This window comes from Homo sapiens, chromosome 11 (genome assembly GCF_000001405.40).
Source record: "Homo sapiens chromosome 11, GRCh38.p14 Primary Assembly".
NCBI lineage: Eukaryota > Metazoa > Chordata > Mammalia > Primates > Hominidae > Homo > Homo sapiens.
The window spans coordinates 65146247-65170014 of record NC_000011.10 but is presented as its reverse complement, the minus strand read 5'-3'; the positions used below and the strand labels follow the sequence as shown (position 1 = coordinate 65170014).

Sequence of the window (23768 nt, the reverse complement as noted above, 5' to 3'; positions counted from 1 at the left end):
CCCAGGGCCTAAGGCCCCATAGGACAGGCAGGGAGCTAGGATCCCTGTTCCCCTCTTGACAAATGCAGCGCCAAGGTGCTGAGCCGGGATATGAGACCCGGACTGCGAGGGCCTGGTGGGCGAGTTTTTTTTCATTGATTGTGCCTTGCTAGGGCAGGGTCTCTGGCTCTCTATGGGTGTCTCTGAATCTCCTGGCCTCCTTGAGTCTCTAGGTTTCACTGAGGCCCCCCGAGTCTCTCTTTTGTTTCTTATTTTATTTTTCCCCTCGTAACACAGAACAAGCTGCCTGGGTCTCAGTGGGCCTCTGAGTCTCTCAGTTTCTTGTTGCCTCTGGTGTCTGGATGTCTGTGGATCTCTGGGTCCTTTGTTTTCTCTCTGATCTCTGGTCTCTGGTGTATCTGCTGTTTCATGGTCTCCCCCAGGCCGCCTCCCAGGCTCCCTGAGGCCGTGAAGGCCTTTCTAGACCAGCTGGTCTGCATCAGGCCATCCTGTTTGTGTGTGTGCACGCATTTGAAGTCGGCCTCCCCTAGAAAGGAAGTAGTGAGTGGGGCAGCATCCATAGCCCGTTCACTAAACACCTACTGCTGCCTACTGAGGAGTCTGTGATGGAATCAGCTCACGTGTTCCTCACAGCAAGCCCGTGAAGTTGATGAGAATGATGAGAAGCCTCATTTTGTCAGCGAACAAACAACTAACACACAGAGTTTGGGTTGCTGACCGACAGGCTGAGTAACTTCCTGCCAGCCACTCAGCTGGTAAGTAGAGATAGAGTTCCAGCCTGGCTGCTGGGCCCACACGCTGGGTAGCCTGGCTGTGTGGTCTACAGCTGTTCCTGGACGCTGCCTGCACAGAGAAGGTGTTCCATGAAACCGAATGAATCTCCTAGACCAGCTGTGTTTTCAACTGTTCTCCTCCTCCCCCAGTAATTAAGGTTAGAGATCAGGAAGGTGTACCAAAAAGAAGCCTGGGAGTGGGCTAGTCACTTTAACTTTGGGAGGGCCTTCAGGCTGATTTCCTTCAGTGCCACCCCTGGAGATCTGACACCGATCTCCCACACTGGGGAGAATATTTGTTTTTACTTTTTTTTTTTTTTTTTTTGAGACGGAGTCTCGCTGTGTTGCCCAGGCCGGAGTGCAGTGGCCCAATCCCGGCTCCCTGCAACTTCCACCTCCAGGGCTCAAGCAATTCTCCTGCCTCAGCCTCCCGAGTAGCTGGGACTACAGGCATGTGCCGCCATGCCTGGCAATTTTTTTGTTTTGTTTTGTTCTCCTGACCTCATGATCCACCCGCCTTGGCCTCCCAGAATGCTGGGATTACAGGCATGAGCCACCATGCCCAGCCTTTCTCTTTCACTTTTCAGAATCCCATGATTCACTGGGCTCTTCAATCTGCCCAGATAATCTCCCCATCTCAAGATCCTTAACTTGGCTGGGAGAGGTGGCTTACCCCTGTAATCCCAGCATTGTGGGAGGCAGAGGAGAGCAGATCACCTGAGGTCAGGAGTTCAAGACCAGCCTGGTAAACATGGCAAAACCCCTCCTCTACTAAAAATACAAAAATTAGCGGGGCATGGTGGTGCATGCCTGTAATCCTAACTACTCGGGAGGCTGAGGCAGGAGAATTGCTTGAGCCCTGGGGGTGGAGGTTGCAGTGAGCTGAGATCATGCCATTGCACTCCAGTCTGGGCAACAGAGCAAGACTTGGTCTCAAAAAAAGATCCTTAACCATCTGCAAAGTCTTTTTTGCCATGTGAGATAACATATTCTCAGGTCTGGGAAGTGAAATGTAGCCATCTTTGGGAGTCCATTATTCTGCCTGCTACAATTATCACAGCAAAATTTATTCTATGCTAACTAATATACTATTTATAAAATTTATATTCATGTAAATGTATATATAATTTGTAAAATCATATATTAATATTGCATGCTATAAAGGATACACGTAAAAGGATATAAAAGAATACACATAAAACATAATAACATACTACCAGCTCAAAAAATATATATATGGCCAGGTCCATTGGCTCACGCCTATAATCTCAGCACTTTTTGGAGGCCGAGACAGGAGGATCATTTGAGTTCAGGAGTTAGAGACTAACCTGGGCAATACATCAAGGCCCCATCTCTACCAAAAATAAACTAGCCTGGCATGGTGGCACGTGACTGCAGTCCTATCTACTCAAGAGGCTGAGGTGGGAGGATCACTTGAGCCCAGGAGTTCAAGGCTGCAGTGAGCTATTATCATGCCATTCTACCCAGCCTGGGTGACACAGCAAGACCCTGTCTCTAAAACATGAATAAATAAATAAATAAGAATATTAAAAATTTCAAAATATAAAGATAGAAAAAATAATATGCAATTACTAAAAGAAAGCTGGGATAACTACACTAATATATTAAAACAACTTTAGGCCGGGCGCGGTGGCTTATGCCTGTAATCCCAGCACGTTGGGAGGCCGAGGCAGGTAGATCATTTGAGGTCAGGAGTTCAAGACCAGCCTGGCCAACATGGTGAAATTCCATTTCTACTAAAAATACAAAAATTAGGTGGGTGGTAGTGGCGAATGCCTGTAATCCCAGCTACTTGGGAGGCTGTGGCAGGAGAATCGCTTGAGCCTAGAAGGCAGAGGTTTTGGTGAGCCAAGATTGTACCACTGCACTCCAGCCTGGGTGACAGAGTGAGAACTTGTCTCAAAAAAAAAAAAAAACAAAAAACAAACAAAAAAACACAACTTTGGACAAAAAGCATAACTAGGGAGAAAGAGAATTTATGTAGTGATTTTAAAAATATACAGCCGGATGTGGTGGTGTGCACCTGTAGTGCTGGTCTGGGCAACATAGGGAGATCCTGTCGGTAAGAAGAGGAGGGGAAGGAGGGGAGGGAAAATAAAGGAAAGGAAAGAGGCAGGAAGAGAAAAATAAAAGGAAAAAGGAAGGAGAAGAAAGAAAGAAGGGAGGGAGGGAAGGAAGGAAGAAAAAAAAGTGTATAATTACCTAACCAGAATCCAGGTAAAGAAAAAAATATATAGTAATTTGTTTACTCCTAAAAATAAAGTCAATAAGCAAGAAACCGCATGTGTGTGTGTCTGTGTGTGTGTGTGTGTAAAATCAACAGAACCACACGGAAAAACAAATCACAATCATAATTGTAGATATGATGGCACATGCAAGGCAAAAAAGTTAGCAAAGCAGTAAAAGATATGAAGAATATGATGAAGAAATTTGACCTAGTGGACGAATAAGCTGGCACTGCACCCAACAAAGGCAGGAAAGCACGCACAGAACATCTTCCTAAAAATTAATCAAATGTACCCGGGCGAGGTGGCTCACGCCGATAATCCCAGCACTTTGGGAGGCCGAAGCAGGCGGATCACAAGGTCAGGAGTTAGCGACCAGTCTGGCCAACATAGTGAAACCCCGTTTCTACTGAAAATACAAAAAGCCGGGCGTGGTGGCGGGCGCCTGTAGTCCCAACTACTCAGGTGGGTGAGGCAAGAGAATGGCGTGAACCCGGGAGGCGGAGGTTGCAGTGAGCGGAGGTCGCGCCACTGCTCCAGCCTGGGTAACAGAGCAAGACTCCGTCTCAAAAAAAAAAAAAAAAAAAAAAAAAAAAAAAAAAAAGAAAAAGAAAAAGAAAAAGAAAGAAAGAAAATATTGTCTGTCAAAGTTGGAGGACACAACTAGTAATTCTTAGAGAGGAATTTATGACCTCAAACGCGCGTGTTAGAAAATAAGAAAAGCTGTCACGCTGATGAACTGAACTCCATCTTAAAAAGTCACAAGCCAGCCAGGGGGACTTCCGGGTCCTGAGGCCCAAGGGGCTGCCTGGGTCCCCATCCGCCAACTTTTGCTGTCCACACAGCCCCAGACAACAAGAAAGGAAAAATAAAACGCTGCCAAAACCACAGCGTCGGCATAACTTGAAAGCAGAGAAGGTCCAAACTTCAAGATAAATGTAAATAAAAAGAAAGCGACCATATCCCCGCACGCCGTCGTGCGCTGCGGCCTCTCCCAGGCACGAGGCTTTGTGCCAAGAAAAGCTGGGGAAGGAGGGGAGAAAGGAGTATCGATCCGGGCTGGGGTTGGTCGAGAGCAACTATCAGAAAGACTGCGACATTCTAAAATCTGAAAATACCAAGAAGACGTCCTGGGAAGTCAGAGCTCAGACCTCAGGGAAGGGGCTTACAAGTATGTGCGATAGGAAGGGGAGGTCGTTAAAGTCCACTGATTCCGCGGGAGGGGTAAAAAAAAAAAAAAAAGGGCTAAAATGGGCCAGAAGCATCCGTGGGCAATTGAGTAAGTGAAGTGGGAAAATGCAGAAGGGAGAAATTGAGGGTCCGAAGAGAACCAAGCAATGGGAGAACACAAAACCCTACCCACCCCCACACCGAAACAAACAAATAAAAAGCTTCTAAACCATCTGAACTTTGCTATATTGACCTAACAGTGTGCTATTGAGCTAGGAATCTTGTAAACCATCCAATACCACAAAAACGAATAGAAAGAAGATGAATAGATCCGTATGGAGCTGATATTTTAAAAAATCTGAAAACAAAATAACACACACCAACCAAGAAAAATTCCCCTGGAAAAAAAAAAAACCACGTTTCCAAAGAAACAAAATATTTACAAAAAATGATCATATCTTAGGTCACAAAGAAATCATCAGTACCTTAAAAAAAGTAGAAATATACAAACAATATTCTCTGAGCACAGTGTAATAAAATGAGACATCATTATTATTATTATTTTTGAGACGGAGTCTCTCTCTGTCGCCAGGCTGGAGTGCAGTGGTGCAATCTCGGCTCACTGCAACATCAGCCTCCGGGATTCAAGTGATCCTCCTGCCTCAGCCTCCCGAGTAGCTGGGACTACAGGTGGGCCCCACCACACCCAGCTAATATTTTATATTTTTAGTAGAGATGGGGTTTCACCATGTTGGCCAGGATGGTCTCGATCTGTTGACCTTGTGATCCACCTGCCTCAGCCTCCCAAAGTGCTGGCTTACAGGTGTGAGCCACCATGCCCGGTGAAAATTATTATTATTAACAAAGACAAACACAGCCTGGCACAGTGGCTCACACCTGCAATCCCAGCACTTTGAGATGCCAAGATGGGAGAATTGCTTGAGCCCAGAAGTTCAAGACCAGCCTAGGCAACATAGAGAGATCCTGTCTCTATAAAACAAAACAAAACACACACACACACACACACACACACACACACACACACACACACACACACCAAAAAACCTAGCTGGGCATGGTGGATCACTTGAGCCTGAGAGGCAGAGGTTGCAGTGAGCCATGTTCGGGACACTGCACTCCAGCCTGGACAACAGAGCAAGAATCTGTCTTGGAAAAAAAAAAAAGACAAACCACTAGTTACCTTGTTTCAGGGGGAAAAAAGGGAGAAAGACAAATATAACAAATATATGACAAAGGGGAGGGAACCATAGGAATAAGATATTTTAAAAAATTTAAATACACCACCAATTTCCAAAATGGTGGTGTAAGGAGCTCAGCAGACCCATTCCCCAACAAAACAACCATTTAACTAGAAAAATTTATTTATTTATTTACTTTTGAGACGCAGTCTCACTCTGTCTCCAGGCTGGAGTGCAGTGGCGTGATCTCGGCTCACTGCAACATCCGACTCGTGGGTTCAAGTGATTCTCCTGCCTCAGCCTCCCGAGTGGCTGGGATTACAGGCACGCGCCACCACATCCAGCTAATTTTTCTATTTTTTTAGTAGAGACAGGGTTTCACCATACTGGCCAGGCTAGTCTCGAACTCCCGACCTCGTGATCCGCCTGCCTCGGCCTTCCAAAGTGCTGGGATTACAGATGTGAGCCACCCCGCACCCGGCCAGAAAAATTTATTTTAAGAACCCAATCATTTCAAATCTGTAAATTATCCTAAAGGCACATACAGCAAATGGGGAAGCATATTCTCTGACTGAACATGAGCAAAAACATAAACTCACTGAAGTGCAGTAGCCAGTCTGCAGGCCACACACGTATCTACTAGTAAAGATAAAAATCTGGAACTTAAGCACAAACTTTGACCAATAAGTGGTTTATGGTCATTTTGACCATAAGTGAGTTGTGCTGACCGGGGGTGACCCCTAGAGAGCCAAGCTAAAAGATTTTTTTTTTTTTTTGAGACAAGGTATTGCTATATCACCCAGGCTGGAGTGCAATGGCATGATTATAGCTCTCTGCTACCTTGAACTCTTAGGCTCAAGCTATCCTCCTGCTTCAACCCCAGAAATGCTGGGATTACAAGCATGAGCCACCAGGCCCAGTTGTTAGATTTTTTTAAAAGAAAAAAAATCAGAAAACAGACATTCCAGGCTACACACTGCAAGGAAAATACACTTCACAAAGTTAATTCAGTCAAGTCACTAAACCAAAAAAGAAATGGCCAACCAAACAGTAACAACATTGACTCCTAAGAGAGGGCTGGCATCCAGAGTTTCTACAGTGTATTATCTAAAATGTACATTTTGGCCCAGAGTGGTGGCTCTCGCCTGTAATCCCAGCACTTTGAGAGGCCAAGGCGGGGGCAGATCACCTAAGGTCAGGAGTTTGAGACCAGCCTGGCCAATATAGTGAAACCCTGTCTCTACTAAAAATACAACAATTAGCTGGGCGTGGTGGTGCACGCCTGTAATCCCAGCTACTTGGGAGGCTGAGGCAGGAGAATCCCTTGACCCCGGGAGGCAGAGGTTGCAGTGAGCCAAGATCATGCCACAGCACTGTAGCCTGGCGACAGAGAGACTCGCTGTCTCAAAAAACAAACAAACAAAAAAAGTACATTGTAATAAAAACATTAGATTCATTTAAGTATATTTCTAAATGCACTCCCATATTTATTGCAGTACTATTCACAATAGCCAAAATATGAGATCAACCTAAGTGTCCATCAGTGGATAAATAGGTAAAGAAAATGTGGTATATATACACAATGGAATATTGTTCACCCATAAAAGGAACAAAATTCTGTCATTCTCAACAACATGGATGAAACTGGATAAAAGTACATATTATTTGTTTATTTATTTATTTATTTATTTATTTTTGAGAGGGGTGTCTCATTCTGTTGCCCAGGCTAGAGTGCGGTGGCACGATCTCAGCTCACTGCAACCTCCGCCTCCCAGGTTCAAGCGATTCTCCTGCCTCAGCCTCCTGAGTAGCTTGGATTATGGGCATGTGCCACCACACCTGGCTAATTTTTTTGTATTTTTACTAGAAATGGGGTTTCACCATGTTGACCAGGCTGGTCTCGAACTCCTGACCTCAGGTGATCTGCCTGCCTTGGCCTCCCAAAGTGCTGGGATTACAGGCGTGTGCCACCGCGCTCGGCCTAAAAGTACATTTTTTCAACAAAAATTATGACATGCAAACAAAAAGGAAAGTCTGGTCCATCCACAGGAAAAGAGAATGCAGCCATAGACATCGCTTTTGAACGGGCCCAGATATTGGACTTAGCACATAGTGCCTTCACAGCAGCCATTACAAATATGTTCACAGAAAAGTGACAAGAGGAAATAAGTAAACAAATAAATACATTATTCTAAGAGTTTTATAGTTTTAGTTCTTACATTTTAGGTCTATGATCTATTGTGAGATTGGTTTGGTTGTGTTTTTTGCATAGCGTGAGCTAGGTGGCTAACTTCATTCTTTTGCCTGTGGATATCCAGTTGTCCTACTATTCTTTCCCCATTAAAAGGTCTTGGCACCCTTATAGAAAATCAGTTAACCAGAAATGTATAGGTTTATTTCTGGACTCTCAATTCTATTCTATTCATCTATTTGTCTATCATGCCAGTAGCACATAGTCTTAATTATTGTAGCTTTGTAGTAAGTTTAAAATTGGAGGCCAGGCGTGGTGGCTCACGCCTGTAATTCCAGCACTTTAGGAGGCTGAGGCAGGCACTTGAGGTCAGGCATTTGAGCCTGGACAACACGGTGAAACCCCATCTCTACAAAAAATACAAAAATCAGCTGGGTGTGTTGGCACACGCCTGTAATCCCTGCTTCTTGGGAGGCTGAGGCAGGAGAATCTCTTGAACCCAGGAGGCAGAGGCTGCAGTGAATGGAGATCATGCCACTGCACTCCAGCCTGGGTGACAGAGTGAGGCTCCATCTCAAATAAAGAATAAATAAATAAATAAAATAGGGACACGTGAAGGCTGTCAGACTGAAGACCCTGCTGATGTTACAGTTCAAGTTCAAAGGCCTCTGCTGGCAGAATTCTCTCTTGCTTGGAGGAGGTCTTTTTTTCTTTTCTTTTCTTTTCTTTTTTTTTTTTGAGACGGAGTCTCGCTCTCTCGCCAGGCTGGAGTGCAGTGGCGCAATCTCAGCTCACTGCAAGCTCCGACTCCCAGGTTCAAGCCGTTCTCCTGCCTCAGCCTCCGGAGTAGCTGGGATTACAGGTATGCGCCACCATGCCCCGCTAATTTTTGTATTTTTTTTTTAGTAGAGACGGGGTTTCACTATGTTGGCCAGGATGGTCTCAATCTCTTGATCGCATGATCTGCCCGCCTTGGCCTCCCAAAGTGCTGGGATTACAGGCGTGAGCCACCGCGCCCGGCTGAGGTCAGTCTTTTCTTCTATTCAGAACCTCAACTGATTGAACAGAGTCCTCCAACATTATGGAAGGCAATCTGCTTTACTCCAAGTTGACCAATTTAAATGTCACTCTTATCCAAAACCGCCATCACCACAGCATCCAGAATAATGTTTGACCACAAATGTGGGCACTGTGGCCCAGCCAAATAAACACATAAAATTAATCATCAAAATAACTTATGATTTTCACCACTGAATAATATCCTATTGTATGGATATACCACAGTTTTATTATCCACTCTTCTATTGAAGGACATTTTGGTTGCTTCCTGTTTGGGGAGAGTATGAAAAAGCTATTATACATATTTGTGCAGGGGTTTGGAGGTAGACATAAGTTTTCAACTCAATTAGATAAATATCTATGAATTTTCAACTCAATTGGGTAAATATCTACGATCTAGCAATTGCTGGATCATATGGTGATAATCTATTTCATGTCATATGAAGCTGCCAAATCGTCTTGCAAAGTGAGTGTACAATTTTGCATTTTCACCAGCAATGAATGAAGGTTGCTGTTGCTCCACATCCTCATCAGCACTTGGTGTTGCCAGTATTTTGCATTTTAACTGTTTTGATAGATGTGCAGTGGCACCTCACTGTTGCTTTGATTTGCAATTCCCTAATGTCATATGACATTGAGCATCTTTTCGTATGCTTTCTCATTTTTATTTCATATTTCTCCAAATACTTCTCTGCCTTCCTCTCTCTCTTCATACCTTCTGTTACTCCAACAGCCAACAGCCATGTAAATGAGCCGCCTGGGAAGGGGATCCTCCAGCCCCACACAAGCCATCAGAAGACAGTAGCCCTGGCCAGAGACAAAAAGCAAACACCCTGGAAGATTGATCCTGTGTCTCCTTGGATGGTATGGGAACTGTTGATAACATCCAGCCCAGGAGTTTACCTGAGGGCTGAACCAGGTGACGTCAGGCAGATAAAACTCTTGTTTTGTAAACTCGAGAAACTTCTCATTCATACCCTTATTGTTGTGTGGAGTGAAAACATATGAAGATATGAATTTGGAAGAGCTGGAGGATCATGTAGACGAATTTGATGAGGAGGATGAACATGCCATTGAAATGTACAGACAGCAGAGACTGGCTGAGTGGAAAGCAACTAAACTGAATAATAAATTTGGAGAAGTTTTGATGATCTCAGGAAAGGATTATGTTCAAGAAGTTACCTACCGGCCGGGCACAGTGGCTCACACCTGTAATCCTAGCATTTTAGGAAGCTGAGGCAGGTGGATCACCTGAGGTCAGGAGTTCGAGACTAGCCTGGCCAACATGGCAAAACTCCGTCTCTACTAAAAATACAAAAATTAGACGGGCATGGTGGCGCATGCCTGTAAGCCCAGCTACTTGGGAGGCTGAGGCAGGAGAATCATTTGAAACTGGGAGGCGGAGGTTGCGGTGAGCTGAGATCACGCCATCGCACTGCAGCCTGGGCAACAAGAGCGAAGAAACTTGGTCTCAAAACAAACAAACAAACAAAAAATTAGCCAGGCTTGGTGGTGCTTGCCTGTAATCCTAGCTACTGGGGAAGCTGAGGCATGAGAATTGCTTGAACCTGGGAGGCGGAGGTTGCAGTGAGCCGAGATTGCACCACTGCACTCCAGCCTGGGCAACAGAGAGAGATTCAGTCAAAAAAAAAAAAATTCCATTCTGTAATAAAAGGAATCTAGACTCTTTGGAGAAATAGTTCATTTCAGGGCTGGGGCAGAGATAATATGAGTCTGGAACATCATGTAGTGACAGAAAGTAAGGAAGTACTCTCACAAAGTCATGGAGACACTTCAAAAGGACACAAGAGTCAACTTGAAGGAGCTCCCAAGGGCCAAATCTGGGATAATTTGAGCAACAAAATAAGTAATGATAGCAATAAATTATTACCCACAGGATAAAATAACTATCCATGAGTTTATACTGATATATGTAAATAACTGAGAGAGAAGTGACAACTCCTCTGCACAGTAGAATTTAAATAAATGTAGGAGAAGTAATGGAAATAGAAAATCACCACTAGACAAACACCGCAGTAATAATTGTTGCAGGCCCCAATCATTCATTGGTGGATGCTAAAATTAGTGGGTGAAAGTATGATGCGAAAGAAGATATTTGCATACACTCAAGGTGCACCTCACAACGTTTACTAATCACAAACGGTGCTATGGTTTGAATGTTTATGTTTCTGTCTCCTCCAAAATTCATTTTGAAACTAATTGCCCATGTGATAGTATCAAGATGTGGGGCCTTATTTTTTATTTTTTTTTTTTTTGAGACAAGGTCTTGCTCTGTCTTCCAGGCTGGAGTGAAGTGGAGCAATCTCTGCTTACTGCAACCTCCCCATCCCGGGATCAAGAGATCCTCCTACCTCAGCCTCCCAAGTAGCTGGGACCACAGGCGTGTACCACCATGCATGGCTAATGGGATAAACCTCTTATAAAAGAGGCTTCATGCATTGTTCTGCCCCTTTTTTTGCCCTTCTGTTCCTCTGCTTTGTGAGGACACAGAGTTTGTCCCCTTTGGAGGATGCAGCAACAAGGTGCCATCTTAGAAGCAGAGAGCAGCCCCCACCAGAAACCAAACATGCCAGCACCTTGATCGTGGATCTCAAGCCTCCAGAACTGTGACAAATAAGTTTCTATTGCTGCCGGGTGCAGTGGCTCACGCCTGTAATCCCAGCACTTTGGGAGGCTGAGGCGGGCGGATTATGAGGTCAGGAGTTCGAGAGCAGACTGGCCAACGTGGTGAAACCCTGTCTCTACCAAAAATACAAAAATTAGCCAGGCGTGGTGGCACACGCCTGTAATCCCAGCTACTTGGGAAGCTGAGGCAGGAGAATCGCTTGAACCCAGGAGGTGGAGATTGCAGTGAGCTGAGATTGTGCCATTGCACTCCAGCCTGGGCAACAAGAGCAAAACTCCATCTCAAAAAAAAAAAAAAAAAAAAAAAGCTTCTATTGTTTATAAATGACCCAACCTTGGGTATTTTGTTATAGCAGCAGAAACAGACTAAAATAAAGGGGAAAAGACTAAATTGACAGTGGAGAAACCTGGGAGATACCACATGATCAAAGTTAGTATCACCAGTATTATAAGGCATGTCAACATCATGTGCCAGGTACTATGAGGCTCTGAGAACGGCACAATTCACTGCCCTGGTATTCTTGTCGAAAATGAATAACTTCAGACTAAACATTACAAACATCACATAAACACAAAATAATTGAGGGATGTTCCACGAATTAATTAGCCGGTACTCTTCAAAAGTGACAAATACGTGGAAGAAGAAGAAACCAGAGGCCAGGTGCAGGGGCTCACGCCTCCAAACCCAGGATTTTGGGAGGGCGAGGCAGGCGGATCGCTTGAACCCAGGAGTTTGAGACCAGCCTGGACTCCTGGACAACATAGCGAAACCCCATCTCTATAAAAAATTAAAAAATTAGCCAAGTGTTGTGGCACGTGCCTGTAGTCCCAGTTACTTGGGAGGCTGAGGTAGGAGGATCGCCTGAGCCCAGGGAGGTTGAGGCTGCAGTGAGCTGTGATCAGGCCACTGCACTCCAGGATGGGCAACAGAGTGAGACCCTGTCTCAGAAAAAAGAAAGAAAGAAACCTGAGAAGTTGTCCCAGAGTGGAAGAGACTAAGGAGACATGATGCCTGTGGCAGACAGCCTCCAAGGTGGCCCCTGAATCAGCCTGGGATTCATGTAATTGGGTTGACCTGTACACCAATAGGATATGGTGGAAACGCTGCAGTGTGGTTTCTGAGGCTAGGCCATCAAAAAGTTTGCAGCTTCCTTACTTTCTCTGAGAAATCTGCTACGTTCTCTGGGAAAAGCCAGCTTCCTGTCATAAGGCCATTTAGGCAACACTGTGGAGAAGCCCGCCTGGCAAGACACTGAAGCTCCTGCTGCTGTGTGGGGCACCATTTTGCCTTTTTTTTTTTTTTTTTGAGACAAGAGTCTCTGTTGCCCTGGCTGGAGTGCAATGGCACAATCTCAGCCCACAGTAACCTCCACCTCCCAGGTGCAAGCAATTCTCCTGCCTCAGCCTCCCCAGTAGCTGGGATTACAGGTGTGCACCACCATGCCTGGATAACTTTTGTATTTTTAGCAGAGACAGGGTTTCACAATGTTGGCCAGGCTGATCTCGAACTCCTGGCCTCAAGTGATCTGCCCACTTAGGCCTCCAGTAGTTCTGGAATTTCAGGCGTGAACCACTGCGCCCAGCCTTGGGGCACCATCTTGAAAGCAGATCTAGTCCTAGTGAAGCCTTCAGATGACCCCAGCCTGGCTGGCCTCATGACTGCTACCTAGTCAGAGACCCTGACAGACCCAGCTAAGCAGCTCCCAAATTCCCAACCCACAGAAACCAGGAGATAAGAAATGTTTGTTGTTTGAAGCTGCTACATTTTGGGGTAATTGTTACACAAGAATGAATGACCAATAGAGCAATTACACAAAATCCAGAATCCTGGATTGGAATCTAGACCAGGAAAAGGACATTAGTGGGACCACTGACACAATTAAAATAAGGTCTGGGCCAGGCACGGTGGCTCACGCCTGTAATCCTAGCACTTTGGGAGGCTGAGGCGGGTGGATTACCTGAGGTCAGGAGTTCAAGACCAGCCTGACCAATATGGTGAAACCCCATCTCTACTAAACATACAAAAAAAATTAGCTGGGTGTGGTGGCATGTGCCTGTAGTCCCAGCAACTTGGGAGGCTGAGACAGGAGAATTCCTTGAACCCAGGAGGCGGAGGTTGCAGTGAGCCGAGATCACGCACTGCACTGGGCAACAGAGCAGGACTCTGTCTCAAAATAATAAATAAATAAATAAATAAGGTCTGTAAAGTTAGCTAATAATATTATATCAATTCTCAATTTCCTGGTTTCAATAACTGTCATATGGTTGTGTAAGATGTTAGCATTAAGAGAAGTGTGGTGGAAACTATACAGGAACTCTCTGCACTGTTTTTGCAACTTTTTATTAAGCCTAAACTTATTTCAAAATAAATATCTTTTAAAAAAAGAATGGCAAAATATACCTAATGAAAGTAGAAGGAATTAAATAATAAAGATGAGAACAGAAATTAACAAAATTGAAAACACAATGGAATTAGAAAAGTCAAAATTTGGTTCTTTGATAAACCAATAAAACTGACAAACCTCTGGCAAGATTGATTCAGAATAATTTTTAAAAGAGAAAGCACAAATTAATAGTAACAAGAATGAAAAAGGATATATAACTCCTTTTTAGATGTTAGATAATAAAAATATGAGTATATCATGAACAACTTTATGCCAACTTTAATTTTTTTTAATTTTTTATCTTTTGAGATGGAGTCTCGCTCTGTTGCCCAGGCTGGAGTGCAGTGGTGCGATCTCGGCTCACTGCAAGCTCCGCCTCCTGGGTTCACGCCATTCTCCTGCCTCAGCCTCCCAAGTAGCTGGGACTACAGGCACACACCACGACACCCAGCAAATTTTTTTGTATTTTATTTTTAGTAGAGATGGGGTTTCACTGTGTTAGCCAGGATGGTCTGGATCTCCTGACCTCATGATCCGCCCACCTCAGCCTCCCAAAGTGCTGGGATTACAAGGGTGAGCCACCATGCCCGGCCTGCCAAGTTTTATATTTATATTTTATGTAAGGAATACATATTAATTTAATACAAGTCAAACACCCCTAATCTGAAAATCTAAAATCTAAACTGCTCCAAAATCCAAACTTTTTAAGCACTGACATGACATATATAAAATTACCTTCAGGCTATGTGTATAAGGTGTATATGAAACATAAATGAATTTTGTGTTTAGACTTGGGTTCATTCCCAAGAAATCTCATTATATATGCAAGCATTCAAAAAAAAAATCTGAAACATATCTGGTCCCAAGCATTTCAGATGAGGGATACTCAACCTGTATATTCAAAAAGTTTGTAGAAAAATTGAATTAAAAGATAAAAATAAAAAAATATAGGCCGGGCGCAGTGGCTCACGCCTGTAATCCTAGCACTTTGGGAAGCCGAGGCGGGTGGATCACAAGGTCAGGAGCTCAAGACCAGCCTGGCCAAAACTATATATATAGTTTTATATACTAAAAATATAAAAATTAGCTGGGCACAGTGGCAGGCGCCTGTAATCCCAGCTACTCAGGAGGCTGAGGCAGGAGAATTGCTTGAACTCAGAGGACAGAGGTTCCAGTGAGCTGAGATGGTGCCACTGCACTCCAGCCTGGGTGACAGAGTGAGACTCCGTCTCAAAAAAATAAATAAATAAATAAAAATAAAATAAAAATAAAAATAAATAAACTTTGATTCTCAACATAACCTCCAACAAGATTAAGACACTTTTGTGAGCAATGGTATCATTGGGTCCATCTCTTTAGAAATGAGGATCCTGGGAATTTAACCATGTCAACACAGTTTTTTTATATTAACTAAAGAAAAATGGGTGCCCTCGGCTGGGCATGATGGGTCACACCTGTAATCCCGGCACTTTGGAAGGCCAAGGGGGGGAGGATCACTTGAGGTCAGGAGTTCAAGACCAGCCTGGCCAACATGGTGAAACCCCATCTCTACTAAAAATGCAAAATATTAGCCGGGTGTGGTGGCGTGTGCCTGTAGTCCCAGCTATTCAGGAGGCTAAGGAAGGAGAATCACCTGAACTGGGGAGGCAGAGGTTGCAGTGAGCCAAGATCGTGCCGCGGCATTCCAGCATGCGTGATGGAGCGAGACTCCATCTCAGAAAAAAAAAAAAAAAGAAAAGAAAAATAGGTGCCCTTTAAAGATTTTTTTTTTTTTCCAGGCCAGGAGCGGTGGCTCACGCCTGTAATCCCAGCACTTTAGGAGGCCAAGGCGGGCGGATCACGAGGTCAGGAGACCGACACCATCCTGGCCAACACAGTGAAACCCTGTCTCTACTAAAAATATAAAAAATTAGCCAGACGTGGTGGTGGGCGCCTGTAGTCCCAGCTACTTGGGAGGCTGAGGCAGGAGAATGGTGTGAACCCAGGAGGTGGAGCTTGCAATGAGCCGAGATCGCACCACTGCACTCCAGCCTGGGCAACAGAGCGAGACTCCGTCTCAAAAAGAAAAAAGAAAAAATTTAAATTTGTAATAGAGACAGGGTCTCACTTTGTCCACCAGGCTGGTCTTGAACTCCTGGGCTTAAGTGATCCTTCCACCTTGGCCTCTCAAACTGTTGGGATTACAGGCGTGAGCCACCACACCCGGCCCCAGACATGTTATAACAAGTTAGTATGAGTTTATTTTGGTACCAAAAATTTTTGAAATTCATGCATTGTTTTTTCATAAGATGCATTTTCCATGAGCTTTTTGAAGAGCCCTTTTATATTTAGATGTATATAAAAATGAACAAGACCTTATAGAAAAATATAGTGTACCAAAACTAAAACAAATAGAAATAGAAACCCTGATTAGTCCTATAACATTAAACAAATTGAATAAGTAGACAAAGTCTTACCACAAAGAAAACTCCAGGCCTATATGGCTCCACCAGTAAGATTAACCAAACATTGAAAAAACAAATAATTCTATCTTGTATAAATTCTTCCAGAGTATTGAAGAAAAGAAGGACCTCCCCTCCACATGTCACAAGGGTAGTGTTCTTGACATGAAAACCTAATGGAGACTGCATGAGAAAGAAATACTGCAGGCTCATAAACACAGATGGAAAAATCCTAAGCAAATTATTAGCAAAATGAATTTGGTAATATATAGGAAGAGAACGCAGTGTGCCAAAGCTGGATTTATTCTAAAAATGCAAGGTTAGAGATGAGAAAACTGATGAATCTGATTTGCCCCCTTAACAGATTACAGGAGAAAATTGAACAATCTCAAGGATTGCAGAGAGTGCATCTTGCCATGTGCAGTGAACTAGACCCCACAAGTGCATATCACACCATGTAGTAGGGGACTTGAGGCAAGGAGCAGCAGGAGAGGCAGTGGCTGCGCAGAAAGTCCTTTGGGCCAGTTGTTGAGAGAGCATCTCGAGTTTGGGAGCCTTATCTGGAATGTGTCAGCTTTGCCCTAAATAAATAAAAATTACCCCACACTTTGTGGTTTAAATGAAAAAAAAAATGTATTATCTCACAGTTTCTGTAGATCAGGAATGTGGGAGCATTAACTTGGAGGTTCTGCCTCACAGTCTCTCGTGAGGTTTGCAGTCAAGATACTGGCCAGGGCTACCGTCTTCTGAGGGTTTGTGTGGGGCTGGAGGATCGCCTTCCCAGGTGGTTCACTTACACGGCTATTGGCTGGGGGGCCTCAGTTCCTCACCATGTGAACCTGTCCACAGGGCTGCTGAGTGTCTCATGACATGGCAGCTGGCTTCCCCAGAGCAAGAGATCCAAGAGACAGTGCAGACAGGAAGCCAAAGTGTGTTTGTGCCAGCTCTCCTAGGTCTCTCACCATCACTTTCATTGATTCTATTCTTTAGAAGTGAGTCACTAAGTCCAGTTTACATTCGCGGGAGGGGAGCGAGGTTCCATGTCTTGAAAGGAGGAGTATCAGGCCAGGCGCGGTGGCTCACACCTGTAATCCCAACACTTTGGGAGGCCAAGGCGGGCAGATCATGAGGTCAGGAGTTCAAGACCAGCCTGACCAACATGGTGAAACCCCATCTCTACTAAAAATACAAAAATCAGCCAGGCATGGTGGCACGCACCTGTAATCCTAGCTACTCAGGAGGCTGAGGCAGGAGAATCACTTGAATCTGGGAGGCAGAGGTTGCAGTGAGCCGAGATCGTGCCACTGCACTCCAGCCTGGGTGACAGAGCGAGACTCTGTCTAAAAAAGAAAGAAAGAAAGAAAGAAAGAAAGAGAGAGAGAAAGAAAGAGAGAGAGAAAGAAAGGAGGAGCATCTAGAATGCATGGACATTCCTAAAACCACCTCACCTGGGAGACTCAAGCCCTGGTTGAACCATCCTACTTGGTGCCTGTACTGGAATAAGAGGAAATCAGACAGCCAGAGGATTGTTTCACTTTCAACTCAGCTACAAAACTCCTTGGCCATTCATGTTCCCTGGCAATCACACTGCAGATGTCTAGAAACTTCGCATTTCCACTTTTTTTCTTACAAAAATGTCATTCAGAATCACATTTCCACTTTCTGAGGTAACTAATCACACCCTCTCCTCTCTCTGCAAAGCTCCAACATGACTTCTTTCCCTTTTTCTTTTTCTTTCTTTGCTTTGAGACAGGGTTTCACTGTCACCGAGGCTGTTTAGTGCAGTGGCTTGATCTCTGCTCACTGCAACCTCTGCCTCCTGGGCTCAAGCCATCCTCCCACCTCAGCCTCCTGAATAACTTGGACCACAGGTGCGTGCCACCAAGCCCAGCTAATTTTTTGTAGAGACAGGGTTTCGCCATGTTGCCCAGGCTGGTCTTGAACTCCTGGGCTCAAGCAATCTACCCCCCTTGGCCTCCCAAAATGCTGGGATTACAGGTGTGAGCCACTGCGCCCAGCCTCTTTCCCTTTTTCTTCTCCTCTATTTTACCTGAATCTGCACCTGTACACACTTTCTCTGCCTCCTCTCCTACTAGAATGGAACAGCCATCTTTCTCCTCCTTTCTTTTTTATTTTTATTTTTTTATACAGATAGGGTCTCACTATGTTGCCCAGGCTGGTCTCAAACTCCTGGGATCAGGTGATCCTCCCACCTCAGCCTCCCAAAGTGCTAGAATCATAGGCATGAGCCACCATGCCCAACCTCTCTCTTCCTTTCAAAGCTTCTGGGTCCTCCTCTTCTGCTCGACTCCTCTTCCTTCTTGATTTCTCAAAGTCATCACTTCTCTACACTTCTCTACGTGCTTCCTGGTTTATTTTTTGTCTTTAGTATTCTGTAAGCTTCATAAGGGAAGGGACTTTTTTCTATTTCATTTGCTAATACATTCATGACACTTAGAACAAGACCTGGTTCAAGGTGGGCACTGGATAAATACTTGGGTGAATAATAGAGTGAATGAATGGGAAGAGGGAAACTCCACCCATTCTAGCTGGAAGGAAAAATGAGGAGGCAGGAGGAGCAGGTGTGAGCGGTAGGAGAAAAGGTATGTGCCCTGAATTTCCTGCACTGGGCAGGAGTCTCATGAGGGTAGGTGTCTTTTTGCTCACCCTGGAATCCCAGCACCCAGCCCTGCACCTGGCACATACTGTGTGCTGATTGCCCAATCTGTACCTTAGTGCCCCAGCCCCTTTCTTTGTACTAGTCTTGGGTGATCCATGTTGCCCATGGATCTGTCCCCAGCCTGCCCCTCTATCCTACTTCCCTTTCTCAGATGCTCAGGCCAGCCTGAATTGAGTCCTAATGTGGCCTCACTGCCTGGCTGCCCGTGCCCTGGCAGAGGGAGGGGACATCAGCCTCCTGTCCCTGCTCTGCCCTCCGAGGACACCCAGACTCGAGACAACTGCCTAGGGTGGCAGCCTGCCAAGGGGCCTGAGGTGGCTGTTCCCTGGCTTTGCACAGAAACTGTTGGGAATGACTCAGCCCCGAGACACTGCTTCAATAGGAGGAAGAAGTCACCACAGGCCCTCACTGGAGGTGCAGCGCAGTGTCAGAGAAGTAGATAGAGTGCCTCCCGGCCACACGCCAGCAGGGTGACTCTGGCTGACTTTCTTAGCCTCTTCGAACATCTGTTTTCTTTTCTTATTTTTCTTCCTTTCTGTAACCTCAAGAATATCTGTTTTCTCAGTAATAAAATGACTAGTTGCCATGGGGATGAGAAAATGGACCTGTTACAAAGCGCGGGGGTTGAGAGAAGGGCCATGGGGCCACCCTGTCTGGGCTTAAGTCTTTTTTTTTTTTTTTTTTGAGAAGGAATCTCGCTCCGTCACCCAGGCTGGAGTGCAGTAGCGCAGTCTTGGCTCACTGCAACCTCCGTCTCCTGGATTCAAGCAATTCTCATGCCTCAGCCTTCCGAGTAGCTGGGACTACAGGCACCCACCCCCAATGCCTGGCTAATTTTTGTATTTTTAGTAGAGATGGGATTTCACCATGTTGCCCAGGCTGGTCTCGAACTCCCGACCTCAGGTGATCCCCCCACCCTTGCCCTCTCAAAGTGCCGGGATTACAGGCGTGAGGCACCGCACCCGACCTGGGCTTAAATCTTGACTTTGTCTTTCCCTATTAGTTGGGCAAACCTCAGGCAAGTTACTTAATCTCTCTGAGCCTCAGTTTCTTCATCTATGAAACCGATATGATAATAGTACCTGACTCAGGATTGACATAAAGGTTAAAACTGTAACTGCCCAACATTTATTATTCTCAGCCCTGCCCTGAAGGATGTCACAGACACAGAAGTGATTACAATGCAGGGTCATAGGGGCTGTGTTCACACAGGGACAAATGCTGTAGGCACCATGTGGTGGGGAGAGACTCACTCAGGTTCATGGCTGATGCTGGAAATGTGTAAGGGTGTGCACTAAGAATTTTCCAGACAAAGAAGAAAGGGAAAAGCATGCTACTTTATATAGGTTTGAGCAAAAGTGAAGATAGCTAGGCTGAAGAGGCAAGCAGAGTTTGGGGAATGAGACAAGTTAAGTTTGACCACAATACAAAGTGCATGATGAGGGCCGGGTAAGGTGGCTCATGCCTGTAGTCCCAGACTTTGGGAGGCTGAGGTGGGTGGATCACCTGAGGTCAGGAGTTCGAGACCAGCCTGGCCAACATATGAAATCCCATCTCTACTAAAAATACAAAAATTAACTGGGCATGGTGGCAGGTGCCTGTAATCCCAGCTACTCAGGAGGCTGAGGCAGGAGAATTGCTTAAACCCAGGAGGCGGAAGTTGTTGTAAGTCGAGATCACACCACTGCACTCTAGCGTGGTCGACAAGAGTGAGACTCCGTCTCAAAAATAAATAAATAACAAAGTGCATGATGAGGATTTGGTGGGGTTAGGAGGCAGGCTGGAAGCATATCATGCAGAAATCCAAATGCCCCCTTAGAAAGGCCTTTGTCAGATTAGCAAGCTCACACTTGTCACTGAGCATCTGTCTCAGCCTTCTCCCAGCTGGCTGCCTGGACCACAGAGGCTGGAACGGTAAAAAAAAAAAAAAAAAAAAAAAAAAAAAAAAAAAAAAAACCACACAAAACTTGAGTTACATATATTCCTTCTGGTTTTTTTTTTTTTTTTAAAAGACTGAGTTTCACTCTTGCTCCCCAGGCTGGGGTGCAGTGGTGTGATCTCGGCTCACTGCAATCTCTGTCTCCTGGGTTCAAGTGATTCTCCTGCCTCAGCCCCCCAAGTAGCTGGGATTACAGGCATGTGCCACCATGCCTGGCTAGTTTTTTATTTTTAGTAAAGATGGGGTTTCTTCATGTTGGTCAGGCTGGTCTTGAACTCCCGACTTCAGGTGATCCGCCCCCTTGGCCTCCCAAAGTGCAGGGATTATAGGTGAGAGCAACCGCACCCAGCCTCCTTCCACAGTTTCAATCATGTGAGACTTACATTTGGAACTAAGTGGAGTCGAGGGAGACAGGTAGCAGCCCTCGGGCACTCCTTCTGCTGGTGTGGTTCCAGCAGGGATAGTAAGGCTGGGCCCACTGCACTGTGGAGCTTTCCAGATTCTGGGCTTGCAGTTAGTGTCTCACCTGAGCAGCTGAGTATGCACTGCCTGTGACAATGCCACTCCAAGTAGATCTGCCAGGGACCCTTCCCAGGAAATTATTTATAACAATTCCAGCAGAGATGGCTTCTCATCCTCCTTGAAGCTACTGGACTCTGAGCCCCTGATTCTGCCACAGCTCATCACTCTAGACCTGTCAGGCTTAACACAATTCACTTATCCAACCATTCAATCATCCATCATCCACTTAGCCAATCCAGTCTTTTTTTTTTTTTTTTTTTTTTTTTTTTTTTTTTTTTTTTTTTTTTTTTGAGACAGAGTCTAACTCTGTCAGCCAGGCTGGAGTGCAGTGGCGCTATCTTGGCTCACTGCAACCTCGACTTCCTGGGTTCAAGTGATTCTTCTGCCTCAGCCTCCTGAGTAGCTGGGATTACAGGCACGCATCACCATACCTGGCTAATTTTTATATTTCTAGTAGATATGGGGTTTCATCCTGTTGGCCAGGCTGGTCTTGAACTCCTGACCTCACTCAGATGATCCACCTGCCTCGGCCTCCCAAAGTGCTGGGATTACAGGCGTGAGCCACCACGCTCAGCCCAATCATTTGTTGACTCACTTCTTCAACACTCCCTGAGTTCTTATTCTGTGGCAGGCCCTGGGTCTGGGGCCAAGAACAGGGAGTCAAATTAGATTAGGGCTGTGAAACAAGCCACTCTCAAACCTAGAGGCTTATGACAATACCAATCATTTATTTTCTTACCATTATGCAATTTGGGCAAGGCCTGGTTGAGACAGCTCTTCTTGTGCCTCCAGCTCCATCCTTGGAGCTGGAGGACCCTTCAAAGATGGTGCACTCCAATGGCTGGCAAGTTGATGCTGGCTAGAGCTATTTATTTATTTATTTATTTATTTATTTATTTATTTATTTAAATTCCCCCAGCCAATTGGATGGTAGGGCTAGAGCTTTTTATTCCCTATTTTTTTCATTTTTAAACTTTATCTCCCTTTAGGGGTACACTGTTCCTGGAGGTACTGCAATGCTAGGTAAATGTGTGGAGTGGGTGGGGCAAGCTCCTATTCCATCTCTTAGTTCCAAAAATCTATTTAATATAGATTGTGTCCTCGAATAGAGGACATATCAGATATTAAACTGATAAGAACAGATACTACACTTGATCTTACCCAAAAGGCTGAGAATGGAGCTTTGATTCTCCTCTACATGGGCCTCCCCACAGGACTGCTTGGGCTTCCTCACAGCATGGTGGCTGAATTCCAAGAGAAGAAAACAGAAGCTGCCAGTTCTGTTTTAAAGGGTAAGCCCAGAATTGGGCACAGCTTCATTTCCACCATATTCTACTGGTTCAAAGCAAGTCATAGGCCAAGTCCAGAATTAAGGGGGTGGAGAAGTAAACCCCACCTTTCCATGAGGGACGGGATAAGGAATTTATGAGCATTTATAATCCACAAACCTAACTAGGAGTGCAGTTTCATGCTGCTTGGATTGAGGAATTGACTGGTTGGATAACTGACTGGGTTTGATTAACACAAACTAAGGATTATTTCTCATTATATCTGTTTCCACATGGTGGACCTTTTCTGGAGTAACTAACACTGCAGAAAAGTGGCCTTGTCCCACTTTCTCTCACTCACCCCTCCCAAGAAGTAGAAAAGAGAGTTTTCTTGGTGAAGTTGTTAGAAGCAACTATGTATGGGACCCAAAGTGAGGTAGGAGGCAGGTCTCAATTCTGGAGGTGGGGCTGGGACACCAGACCAAATTGAGGACTTGCTAAAACAGGGATGGGGTGGAGGCAGCTTTCCATAAGACACACCCACCAGTGTGCCATGTCAGTTTACCATTGCCATGGTAACACCTGGAAGTTACTGCCTCTTTCTGTGTTAATGACCAAACGACTCAGAAGTTACCACCTTATTTTTAGAAATTTCTGCATAATCTTCTCCTTAATTTGCATATAATTAAAAGTGGGTATAAATATGACTGCAGAACTACCTCTGAGCTGCTACTCGGGGTAGCCCTGGTGTGCAAGGAACAGTACATCTGCTGCTGCTGTGCACTGCCACTTCACTAAAAGTGTCTGTCTAACAGCACTGGCTCACCCTGGAATTATTTCCTGGACAAAGCCAAGAACCCTCCCGGGCTAAGCCCCAATTTGGGGGCTTGCCTACCCTACATCAAAAGAAGGAGAAACCTTTGGGAGCAGAGTGGGTAAGTCTGTGCAGCTCTGGGACGGGTACAGGGACTTCAAATGCATTTTCTCAACAACTCTATTGGTTACAGAAGTAACATTTTTATCTCTATCCTATGTGTCTGTTTTTCAGATGGTACTAAACTTGGTCAGGGAAAGACAGGGTGTTACATTGTATGCCCTGTAAAAACCCTTGCTCTAAATCTGTCACATACTTGGCACTCAAGAAAAACATGTTAAATGTTAACTAAAAGAATGTTGACATCAGGTGTGAGAGGTTTTCTTCTTCTTCCTTTTTTTTTTTTTGAGATGGAGTCTCGCTCTGTCGCCCAGGC

General features: G+C 45.1%; 2 pseudogenes, besides 2 other annotated features; one reads left to right on the top strand and one right to left on the bottom strand.

Annotated features, from left to right (window-relative positions):
* PDCL2P2 (PDCL2 pseudogene 2) lies at window positions 9633-9821 on the top strand (annotated as a pseudogene).
* Window positions 17122-17301: a silencer, noted in NCBI's record as "silent region_3510". NCBI's record gives its function as "represses an Ori minimal core promoter by ATAC-STARR-seq in GM12878 lymphoblastoid cells {active_cell/tissue: GM12878}" and the evidence as "EXISTENCE:reporter gene assay evidence [ECO:0000049][PMID:35858748]".
* Window positions 19210-19259: an enhancer, noted in NCBI's record as "active region_4948". NCBI's record gives its function as "activates an Ori minimal core promoter by ATAC-STARR-seq in GM12878 lymphoblastoid cells {active_cell/tissue: GM12878}" and the evidence as "EXISTENCE:reporter gene assay evidence [ECO:0000049][PMID:35858748]".
* On the bottom strand, window positions 22240-22426 carry RNU2-23P (RNA, U2 small nuclear 23, pseudogene; annotated as a pseudogene).